General features: G+C 39.4%; 1 protein-coding gene across 1 annotated transcript in view; it reads right to left on the bottom strand.

The window, feature by feature from the left end:
• Window positions 1–12,777, bottom strand: part of DNAH11 (dynein axonemal heavy chain 11) — a 358,801-nt gene that overhangs the window by 11,897 nt on the left and 334,127 nt on the right. Inside the window, exons 75-76 of the mRNA NM_001277115.2 lie at window positions 9,050–9,241; window positions 5,533–5,652 (exon numbers count right to left, since the gene is read on the bottom strand). Coding sequence (NP_001264044.1) covers window positions 5,533–5,652; window positions 9,050–9,241 — 312 coding nt within the window. The remainder of the gene's footprint in view (window positions 1–5,532; window positions 5,653–9,049; window positions 9,242–12,777) is intronic.

Raw genomic sequence — 12,777 nt, 5'->3', positions numbered from 1 at the left:
TTTTACTTTAAGAAAACCATCAAGACTTTAATATACTCAAGGAGCCCTGTGAATCCTGATGCTGAATCTAGACTTTCTCCTTTCCCACTCAAGACTTTTTATGAAAAGATGCTTTTTGCTAATGGGGCCATCATTGTAGAGCTCTCTACACAGTGGCCAACTTTCTTGCCTTTGGAGGAGGTTTGTCTGAGAAAGCTGTTATAATGCCTCAAAGAATAAAAAATTCTAAATAGACATTTCTCCAAAGAAGATACACAAATGGCCAATGAGAACATGAAAGGATGTTCAACATTGTTAGTCTTCAGGGACATGCAAGTCAAAACTGTAATGTGACACCACTGTACCTCCACCAGAATGGCTAAAATAAAAAAATGTGGACAGTAGCAGTCTTGGTGAGGATGTGGAGAAAACAGAACTGTCATACATTGCTGAAGGGAAGATAAAATGGTGCAGCCACTATTTAAAAAACAGTTTGGTGGTACTTGCAAATGATAAACATAGAGTTATCACTTGGCCCAGCAATTCCACTCCAAGGTACATATCCGAAAGAATTGAAAACATATGTCCACACAAAATTTGTACATAAAAGTTCATAGCAGCATTATTCATAATAGCCAAGAAGGAGAAACAACCCAAATGTCCACTGACAGATGAGATAAACAAAATGTGCTATGTCCATACAATGGAACATTATTCAGACTTAAAAGGAATTGAGTACTGATATATGCTACAGCATGGCTGAAGCTTGAAAACATTATGCCAAGTGAAAGAAGGCTACATATTGTATGAGTCCATTTTTAAAAATGCCCAGAACATGCAAATCTATAGAGACAGAAAATAGATTAGTAGCTGCCATGGGCTGGGGTATAGGGGAATATGGGGTGGGAAACAAATGGTGCCTGACTGCTAATGGCTGCAGGGTTTTTTTTTTTGGGTGGGTGGGGCGTGGGTAATAAACTGTTCTAAAACTTGTAATGGTTGCAGAATATACTAAAGACCTTTGAGTTGTATAATTTAAATTGGTAAATGTTACAGTGTGCAAATTATATCTTAGTAAAACCTTTTTTAAAAACAAAAAGAATCGATAGAATCATGCTCAGGCAGAAAGAACCTCCACATCATGAAAATATAATCAAAAATTTGGATGATATTTTCGGCCAGGCATGGTGGCTCATGCCTGTAATCCCAGCACTTTGGGAGGCCGAGGTGGGCAGATCATGAGGTCAGGAGTTCAAGACCAGCCTGACTAACATGGTGAAACCCCATCTCTACTAAAAATACGAAAATTAGCCCAGCGTGGTGGCACATGCCTGTAATCCCAGCTACTCAGGAGGCTGAGACAGGAGAATGACTTGAATCTGGAAGGTGGAGGTTGCAGTGAGCCGAGATCACACCACTGCACTCCAGCCTGGGCGACAGAACAAGGCTCTGTCTCAAAAAGAAAGAAAAAAAAAATTGAAATCATCTTTGTTGAAATCAGGGGCAGGCACAGTTATTAGAAACTGGAGAACCAGCATCCAGCCCACTATGTTGGACTCCATGAGATTATTGTCTTTTTTATATTTTCCTTTCTGGTATTTAACAAAAACCGACCCCCACTCCACTGCCTCTCCAAGTAGTGTTGGTAATGACAAGAAGCTCCAGTTCATTGTGAATTTAAACAAATGCATTTGCCCTTGGCCTTCTGGGTCAAAAATGCCATGGCCCCAAAGTGCTGTTAGGGATTTTTAGACATTACTCAAGATTGAATTATCATGGTGTCTTGAGAATGAAAAGGTACATTGGTGATTTTCTAGGCAATACCTTAATTTTATAAATGAATGAAGTGAGGCACAGGGAAGCCATGCACAAAGCCAGACAGCAAGTCAGTAGCAGAACCAGAACTCTGGTCTCCCGTATTGCCCGTGTTGTTCTCAGTGTTGGCCTGTACACCATCTACATACAAATACGAGTCATTGTTTTGGTGACCTGTGCTGCAAACAGCTCAGCACTCCAGCCAGGGCAGTATGGTGCAGAGAAAGACCAGCCTTTGGAGTCTGATTACGAGTTTAAATTCTGGTTCAGCTGCTTGACCTCTCTAAGCCTGAGGTTCTTTTTTGATTAAATGGAATAATACTTACTCTTCCAGATTATAGTGAGAAGAAATCATACATATAAAGTGTGTGGTAATGACCCTTGGCACAGAGCAGGTATTTACTAAAGGATTCCCATTGTTATCACAGATTAATGTATAGCCAAATATTAAATATATATAATGAAAATGTATACTTTATAATAAAAAGATTTCCCATTTATTAAGCATATTGTTCTAGCATTGTACCAAAGTTTAAACCTGACAGCAAACCTGTAAGTTGATCATTCTGGTTTTGTAGATTATGAAACCAAGGCTAAGAGAGGGTCAATTACATCATACGGCAAATACATAGAGGTACTTCAGTGTGAACCCAGGTGTTTTTTGTCTTTGTTTTTTACTTCAAACCCCAGATTCTTGTTATTCTATATTACTAAAATAGTTTGTATTATATGATAACTTTAAGGTGACCTGGTACCTTATTCTCTGAAAGTGATTTACTGTATTTCTTAATTAACGCTGCCAAATACATGCTTTATGTGAGAAGATGTTTTCTTTCTTGACTTTGGCCAGAGACCCTCTAAAGCCCACTGGAGAACTCTCTCTGAGAGCAAACTCATTTATTCAACAAGAAACTCACTGATCCTCCTAACAGCAAGATATCACTGAAAGCATTCTGATTCTTTGGATAAGAGCAGCAGAACTTTAAACCCCACACCATGAATGGGTTGCTTTTTGATCATGTTCCAATGCAACCAAAGACACTAATTTCCAAATATGTTAACCACTTGTGGGAAGTGGCAAAAAGATGTCCTGCAGATGAAGTGTTAGATCATGTTGCTAATCATATAAACAGCATAAACAGGAGAAACGTGCATGAGAACAAAATAACTGGGATTTGCAGCCTCTGACAGCAAGTCAGTTAAGTGCTTTAATTTCCTTTGGTGAGTTGAGGAGGTACCTCTCCAGTGAGGATGCCAGCTTGCAAAATGAAGCATTTCAATCCTGGAAACCTCGCCAGATCTGTATGTAAGGTCAGGTACCTAAATTTCTAAAGGGCTTACACACATCACTGATGCCCCTTCAGGTTTCATCACCTATATTTATTTTACAATTATTTGAATGGGAGTTCAGGCTTGTGAAGGTTAATGGACTGCTGCATTTGGCAACAGTAATTCTCCCCTCAGCCACAGGCCAGAGCTAGGGGAGCTCCTCGCGGGCCCCTTGCCCTCCACCATCATTCGGAGAAATCAGCCTCTGTAAAGGTCGCATGCCTGGCACTGTTTAGCTTTCCCATCTCCATGGTAACTTGCTCCCAGACCTTTCCTGAGGAGTGACTTCCAATTGTGCTAAATTGGAAGTCTCTCTCTGACATGTGAAATCTTGCTCATTAGAACTAAGGAAAGACCATGAGACTCACAATCAAAAGAAACAATTACATAACATTGTGCATTTTTTGCACTGTCTCCAAACTGTTCCACATTATTAAAAGTAGTAACAAAAGAATGTCCCCAGTTTTCTATATTAGACTAAAATACACTATGTTTTCCTGGTGTATTTTAGTCTAAAATAGACTAAATATTAGACTAATATGATTTTAGTGATTTAATCTAATATACACTAAATATTAGACTGATATGATTATATTACTTCTCAAAATGAACTCTAGGAAGGTGATCAAATCTATATAATGCTTCTCTGAGGTGAAATTTTCAGAGAAACTATAAATAGGACATCACTCAAACTATTCAAAGCATTGCTTTAAACAGAGTTGGTGTCTCGCCCAACTGGAAATAGACATGATATGGTGTACAGGTGCTTTACGTTTCCAAGAAATAACCAGGAATGGCCATGAACCTGGATGCCATGAGGGAGAGAGAGCATGAGAAAACTACAGCCACCACGCTCACCCTCTGTAGTACGAGAAACAAAAATGGAGTACTTTTTCCAGAAAACACAGCCCCGGGCTGGAACCATTTCTACACAGACACAGGGTTACTAAGATGAGAAATGGGAAAAGGATGCTTGGTCTTTTAAAACTCCACCTACAGGGGTGATCTACCTCTTCCTCACGAGAGAAGGAAGAATGAGGTTCTCAAATCACCATACTTGTCTTTTTAACTGACACATAATAATTGTACATATTGATGGGGTACAATGCGATGTTTTGATACATGTATATGTTGTGTAATGATCAAATCAGGCAATCAGCAGGCCCATCATCTTAAATATTTCTCATTTCTTTGGGGTGGGAACATACAAAATCCTCTCTTCTAGCTATTTTTAGATATACAATATTGTATTGTTGACTACAGTTACCCTACTGTGCAATAGGACACGAGAACTTACTTATTCTTCCTTTCTAAGGATGGTAACTTTGTATCTGTTGACCATTCATTCCCCATTCTCCCCTTCCCCAGTCTCTGGTAACCACTGTTCTATTCACCATTTATAGGAGATCAGCTTTTTAAGAGTCTTTATGTGTGTGAGAACATGTATTTGTCCTTCTGCGTCTGACTTATTTCATTTAACGTAATGTCCTCCAGGTTCACCCTGGAGCATCTTTTCTCTTTTTAAAAAACATAACTATATTACTTTATTATCACACATAAAATATTAACGGGAATTCTATATTACCATGATATGTTAATGTTAATTTCCCATTGTGTCATAAATGTGTGTGTTTTTTTTTTTTTTTTTATAGTTCATTTGGAACAAGATCCAAATAAGGTTCTTACCTTGCCCTTGGTTGATATATATAATCTTTTTTTTTACTATCTTGTTAGATTTAATTTTATTTTAAATTGACAAATAATAATTATATATATTTATGGGGCACAGTGTGATGTTTTGATACACGTGTACATCGTGGAATGGTTAAATCAGGCTAATTAACAAATCTATCACCTCACATACATATTGACCACATTTTTCTTGAGCACATATTATAATTGAGTAACTGATACTGGTCCAACTGTAGACTATTTTCTAGGACTTCCATGACAGGCAGAAAAGAAACTTTAGTGAAATAAACTCTGGAATAGAAATCAAAAGACTTCTATCAAAAGACGCACAAAACTCTTGCCTGTGCCAACCTAGTGGCCTGGGGCAAATCCCCATGTTTCAGCATCTCGGTCTAGAAAAGGGAATAACAGCGTCAGCTCTGCATACCTCATAGGGTTTTTATAAAGAGCCGATGAGTCAGTGCATGTGAGGCTGCCTCACGCTGGTGCACTCTCTAGCACACACAGAGATCACCTGGAAGACTTGTGAAAATGCAGATTCTGATTCTGTAGGTCTGGGATGGAACCCGAGATTCCGCTTTTCTAAGAAATTTCCCAAAAGGCCAAGCATCCTCAATAACATTAAGAATTGCCCATAGTATAATTAGTTTATAAAATTCTTACCAGAATTTTTTGCTCAGTGAAATTTATTTACAAATTAATTTACAAATGTCTTACCAGAGATGGATTCATGAATTCTTCTAAATACACCCGACACAGTTTGCGATCCCAGTCATCTGTGATGTGGCCTCCATACATGATCTCACCAAAGAGATAACGGAGATCTTCCCATGGGACCTGTGGAGAAAACCACACAAATATTCACTGCTGGGTGCAGAGTCTGCCTCAGAGTAGCCAACCAGTAGCACGTGCCCCTCTAACACAATGCCCTCCAAGCCTCCGTCAATAGGAGGATTTAAAGGTGCTTCAGAAATTGTCTAAGTTTCTGCAGAGAATTTCTTGGGAGAATTATTTTCAGTGTCTTCTAATATAGTCAGTGAAAATTCACTAACATTGAGCTGTTTATGAAGATTTTTTTTCTTTAAGAGATGAGGTCTGGCTTTGTTGCCTAAGCTGGAGTGCAGTGGCACAATCACAGCTCATTGCAACCTTGAATTCTGGGGCTCCAGCAATCCTCTCGCCTCAGCCTCCCAAGTAACTAGGACTACAGGCACAGGACACTACATCTCGCTAATTTTTTAAAAATTTTGTAGAGATGGGGGTCTCACTATGGTGTCCAGGTTGGTCTCGAATTCCTGGCCTCAAGCCATCCTTCCTCCTTGGCCTCTCAAAGTACTGGGATTTACAGGCTTGAGCTGCCATGCCCAGCCTTAGGCAGATTTTAAAAGAAACTGAGTCATCCCTAGAACATGTTTGCAGGGAAAGTTTATACATTCAAATTCTCATCTAAAAATTGTGAAAGGATGTTGGTTCACAGGGCCTTTGAAGTATGACATGTTTTTATTATCTGCTTTATATCAGCTTGTATTATCTGATTCAGGAAAAGAAAGCAACATCCACACAATTTGAATTTGGGGTGTATTTAGAATCCTAGTATTTTCCAAAAGTCCAGGCAAACAAATCCCCTTGCCACAGATGGAGCTGAGGGCTTGTCTTACGGCATGACTGGCCTAATGACTGTTCTAAGGGTTGTAACTAATGACTATACCATGTTTTATTCAAGAAATCACTGTACCTACTCTTTATTTGGCTGAGCAGGGTTTGAAGCCTCTCTTTGCTATACTTTAGCTTCTTCTGGGTTTGCAAAACATGCCAGTGTGTGATGAAGCCTTTCTAGACAGGAACCTTTACACCTTCGGGGGCAGTATACTGCCTCCCAACAGTTTAAGTAAAAACATAATTATAATTATAGCCTTCGCTTGTTGCGTGATGTGACAGAACAGAACAAGTAAAATTGCTTCAACTATGCCAATGTACTTTTCTACAAGTTTATTTGAATTTGAATAAATGAACCTCAAATATGTCTTTTAAGCTGGGTTGAGGTGAATGAAAAATAAGAGAGGGGTGCCTAGACCGCAACATGCTCTCTCAACCACTGCATGGACTACCTTCCAAATAGCTGAAATGGATGGAAAACAAAGGCTTCTGACTTTTAGTTCTTTTTCTGCTTACATTTAATCGATGCTTGCAACACATTTCAGTATTCAATATGTATCTCTTTTTAATTTTTATTTAACTAGGGATCTGTTCTTTTCAATAATTATTTAAATAATTATCTGTTCTTTTCAATAATTATTTAGCTAAGGATTTGTTCTTTCCTCTTTTGTTTTTGAGACAGAGTTTTACTCTGTTGCTCAGGCTGGAGTGCAGTGGTATGATCTCAGCTTACTGCAACCTCCACTTCCAGGGTTCAAGCGATCCTCTCACCTCAGTCTCCTAAATAGCTGGAACTACAGGCGTGCATCACCATGCCCAGCTAATCTTTTGTATTTTTTATGGAGACTGGGTTTCCCCATGTTACCCAGGCTGGTGTCGAACTTCTGGACTCAAGCGATCCGCCCGACTTGGCCTCCCAAAGTGCTGGGATTATAGGCATGAGCCATCACGCCTGGCCTCAGATCTGTTCTTTTCAATAATTGATTCTCTTTCCCTCAATCCTGGTCTTTGTTTTTTACATATACTTTCTTGAAAAGGCCATTTTGTACAACCAAACATGTGCTCATAGGAATTTAATTCCCAAATCCTGATAAGTCGCCTTGTGATGTGCAGAAAATGACTGAGAAACATGAGAATGTGTTAAAAACTTAAGGCTGTGCTGATCCTGGAGCCCCAGGATGAAAAAAAAGCAGGACACAGTGTGACTCGGTTGGTCAACTGGTGTTTCCAAGACTCAGGATGTAAGAGCTGGAGAGAAACACGTGTGTCCACTTCCCTCTTCCTCCCCTTCATTTCCACCTCAATGGTGTATAGGATTCAGCTGAAATACGATTCTATTCCCGGTTGCAGCCTCACAGGACAGTTATGAAGGACATGAATAAAAGTCTTAAATGGTCCATTCCTTTTTCTACCTAGAACTGTTATAATTTTATGTGCAATAGTTTAGACAAAATGTGCTGGGAATCAACACAAAAATATTACTATTTAATAGAATGGTCAAAATATGCTCAAAGTATTCAGAATTACTTAATTCTATAAATTGAAAAATGAGAGATATGGAACACTGAACATCAAATACCATATTAAAACCATTTATTTTGGATACAACTTATTTAAAATTTGTTCCTTGGGAAAATATGCCTGTTAGGTACCAAGGGTATCTATTCTAATAGCAATCAAATCACCACCGAAGCCTGAGAAAGCTGACCAAAAAAGTTATAACAATCATTACTGAAGGAACATAAAACAATAGTTTCCATTTAGAAACAGAGACGGGTGATTTTAAAAACGCTTTATAGAAAATGTGGCCTAGAGTACAACACTTGACTGGTTTTGACACATGTATCCTAGTCTTAACGGATTTAACTTAATGAAAAAAGTTTCCCTTGTGAGGATTAAGCTAGAAAATCCTTAGGAATGAATGGTTCTTGCTTTTTGAAATCCAATCATTGGGTTTATGAGAACTTACACAAATGTTCTTGATGAGGCATTCCCATTCCCATCTGTAAAACACATTTTAGCTACGAAATAAAATCATTCATCTACCTTTAACTTCAAATCAAGGGGAACATTACTGAGAAAGTCACAACAAGGTGGCATCCTTAATACATAATAATGACATATGCAGGAAATGCACCATTATTTATACATGTGACGCGCTGTAAATTGCTTCCATCATCAGAACTAATTGTAGTGATTATTAATGCAGTGTTATGAACTGTCAGAATTGCTGTATGTAATTACATTTGTGCAAATGCTTCATTACCTGCCTAATGAATCTGGCATATACGCACATGTAAACCACTGTTTTTGTTAACATAATGAAGGACATTTTTTGTTTTTTTTTACACTAAGCTGCTGATGTAGAACTGGTTTGACCTATCTCATGAAGTGCAAACATCCACTGCTGGAAAACCTTTGATCTGGTTTATTTTCACACTTGGCAGAAGATACATACATAGTGTCAGCTATTTCAATAATAGCTTCAAAAGAGAAATTATGGTCAATTTTGATAGTGCCCAAAGACTGACAGCTTTGTAAACTCCTTGGAAGAGGTTATTTGACCACTAGCACTTACTTTAGAGTTTGCCTCTAAGTAGTTGTAGAGGACACTGGCACAAATGGTGAGGTCTCCAGGATTAAAAGGATAGCTTCGGCTCCAGCCCTGGGGGCCAAACCTCAGTCTCCCAGCAACACAGGCGTGGAAGTAGCAGAGAGAAAAAAGGATGCTTTTAAACTCCTGCTCCTTGGAGCATATTTCAAGTGTATCCTGGGAAAAAAGAGAAGAAATGCTTGATTATCCATCTGTATGGTTTCCAAGAGCAAGGGTCTGCGTTTTCAATAATCTTGTAAAGAACTTTGAGAGTGAGATACTACAGAGGCAGTCTTCAGCATGGCTACTTATCCAATGAGAAGCTTAACAGGAGATTATTTGGCATTTGCCAGTCTGTTGGCTTAAGAGGAATACTTTTATTTTGCTTCAGTCATGCTTCTGAATGCTTCTAAGTTCACTAGAAAATGAGACAGTTCATTTTAACCATGTCATACTGCTTGACATCATTTTCCTCTGCAAAATTTTCTTCGCAGAATCTGGATGACATAAAGCCATCATCTTCATTTCATCACTGTAGTAGAATGCTATTACGGTTGGGAGAATGCTAGTTAACCACAACTATCCATTCTTCCCTGGTTCTCTGGGCACATGGACACCCTTGACTGTTTCCCAGCCTCCCATGAAGCCATTTGTGTCATCCAACCAAGTTTTTGCCAACAGAATTTCAGCTAAAGTGTTGTGTATAACTTCCAGGTCATTTGCTGAAAATGAAATTGCTTGTCTTAGTTGTCACTCTTCCCTTTTTTTCTTTCTTTCTTTTTTTTTTTTTTTTTGAGACGGAGTCTTGCTCTGTCACCCAGGCTGCAGTGCAGTGGCACCAACTCAGCTCATTGCAACCTCTGCCTCCTGGGTTCAAGTAATTCTCCTGCCTCAGCCTCCTGAGTAGCTGCGATTACAGGTGCATGCCACCACACCCAGCTAATTTTTGTATTTTTAATAGAGATGGGTTTTTGCCACATTGGCCAGGCTGGTCTTGAACTCCTGTCCTCAGGTGATCCACCCTGCTCGGCCTCCCAAGGTGCTGGGATTATAGGCACGAGCCGCGGGGCCCAGCGAACTCTTTCCTTTTCTATGGCTAGAAATGATGATGATTGGTCAAGTCTGGAAAACTTGAGTTAGGTATGGCAGGGGCACCCATCAGCTTGGGCGTATGAATGATCTCATGGAACAAAGCTGCCTAATATGTGTGAGAAAAAAACTCCTATCTTGTTTGAATCCCTATAGTTTTGATTCTCTTTCTTACAGCAGCTTAGCCTGTACCTTAACTAATAAAATCACCACGACACATTATTTCCTTCCAATGAACTAAAAGTAAAATTCATTGTTGGGATGACTGGGTGATATATGGAAAATTGGGAAACATGTGTCTAGACCTGTGAGGTTTTTTTTTTGTTTATTTGTTTTTTGTTTTTTTGAGATGGAGTCTTGCTCTGTCACCAGAGGGGCTATCTCTGCTCACTGCAACCTCCGCCTCCAGGGTTCAGGCGATTCTTCTGCCTCAGCCTCCCGAGTAGCTGGGACTACAGGCATGCACCACCATGCCCGGCTAATTTTTGTATATATTTTTAAATAGAGATGGGGATTCACCAGATTGGCCAGGGTGGTCTCGAACTCCTGATCTCATGATCCACCCACCTCGGCCTCTCAAAGTGCTGGGATTACAGTCACAAGTCACTGTGCCCAGCCTAGACCTGTGAGATTTTTTTTTAAGAACGCAGATGGAAAATGGAATCCTGGCATGCTACATGGATACGGTTATGGCCCAACAGCCATAAAATTAAAAGAAAAATAGCTGTCCAATCTATGGCTTAAAAGTCATATTTCACCCATGTTCAGATTTGGCAGTTCTGTGAGGCAAGGAAAGGAAGTTGAGGACTATTCCTTCAGCTGGCATTGAGCAACAGGGGAGGAAGAGGCCAAAATCTGCCCTTCCCTGCCTTGTCCTTTAAAATGGGCAAACTATAGCCAGTTCACATTTGAAATGGATCTGACAACTTGGGCCATATATGAAGTATATGTAGAACCAGTGTGAGTAGTTCAGACCTAGTCTTCCAGAGGACTTGTGATACTAAACCAAGACCAGATTTGTTCTCTGTGGGTCAGGATCAGAGAGCTTTTCAGTTTCTTTAGACAGTGCTTTTAGCAGAATCCAGGGCTCCCACCAAATACGGTTCTAGAATTGGCCAGGAAGCATGTAGCGCAGATCCAATTAAATCACTAGGTCACTCTAAATCACTAGGCCATTTTTAGGTCATTTATGGGGCTTGGAAATATACAATCATTAAAAAATAACTTTTCCACAAATAAAGGGCAAGCTTGTGAAGGCAGAAAAGAGAAACCGTATAACTGGAATTAACCTTGAAGGGTATAAAAAAAATTTACTTTTAAATGTGAGAAATTTCTAGGAGATCCAATATATGTATCAAAATTTCACTTTGGAATTATGATCTAACAAATCACTTAATACCTTTCTGAATTACAGATAGTCCACATAAAACCCAAGGTACTATAATAACTAAGTACATTACTTCAATCTGTACTTTATATAAATGACTTGGCTTTATCCTCAGTGCTAAAAGAAACAAGTCAATCCATTTCTTTGTGTTCTGATAACATAAATGATGCAGGAAAAAAATATGAATCAGGCTTTCTGAAGAAAAGGTATGAGTCTACCTACCATTCCACAGTTCAGGCCAGTTGTATTTTTGCAAACCAAGTGATAAGGAAATATTTAAAAAATACAGACTCCATTGTGAACAAAGAACAGGCATCTGCATACCCATAGTAGTGCTATTTGTACACAATTACCAATTTTATATGCACAATGATCAATTACTTGTTTCTGCCTGCAAATTTTACAGAAACAGAAATCTATCTTCTTACTCTAAAAAAATATAGTTATCTGGGTGTGAAGGGAGCCAAAAGAGTACTCCTTTACTACATCTTCCTCAAGAGGCTCTTTTTTTTTTTTTTTTTTTTTTTTGAGATGGAGTCTCCCTGTGTTGCCCAGGCTGGAGTGCAGTAGCGCGATCTCTGCTCATTGCAACCTCTGCCTCCCGGGTTCATGCCATTCTCCTGCCTCAGCCTCCCGAGTAGCTGGGACTACAGGCGCCCACCACCACGCCTGGCTAATTTTTTGTATTTTTAGTAGAGATGGGGTTTCACCTTTTTAGCCAGGATGATCTCAATCTCCTGACCTCGTGATCCGCCCGCCTCGGCCTCCCAAAGTGCTGGGATTACAGGCGTGAGCCACCGTGCCTAGCCTCAAGAGGCTCTTTAGCTGAAAGGCGTAGGTAGATGGTATCCTACAAGAAATGGTTCTTTATGTCCCAGCCACTTGATTAAATTTACATAAATATTCTGGAATGCTCAGGATAATAAAGCACTAGTATTAAACAAACTGTTCATTTTGAATACACATGCCAAAGTTTGGAGGTAAATTCTAAATTGAGGGGAAAGATTAAAAATATGGATTTAAAAATTAGCCAGGCATAGTGGCATACACCTGTAGTCCCAGCTACTCAGGAGGCTGAGGCAGGAGGATTACTTGAGCCCAGGAGTTCAAGGCTGCAGTGAGCTATAAGTGTGCTGCTGCACTTCAGCCTGGGTGACAGAGCAAAAAAAAGAAAAAAAAGGTTTAATTAGATTTGAAAAATACCCTAGCAGTACAGTTGACTTGTCTAAACCTCTTG

Source organism: Homo sapiens, chromosome 7 (assembly GCF_000001405.40).
Source record: "Homo sapiens chromosome 7, GRCh38.p14 Primary Assembly".
NCBI lineage: Eukaryota > Metazoa > Chordata > Mammalia > Primates > Hominidae > Homo > Homo sapiens.
Note: the sequence above shows the minus strand (reverse complement) of the source record. Positions and strands in the feature narration are given on the sequence as shown.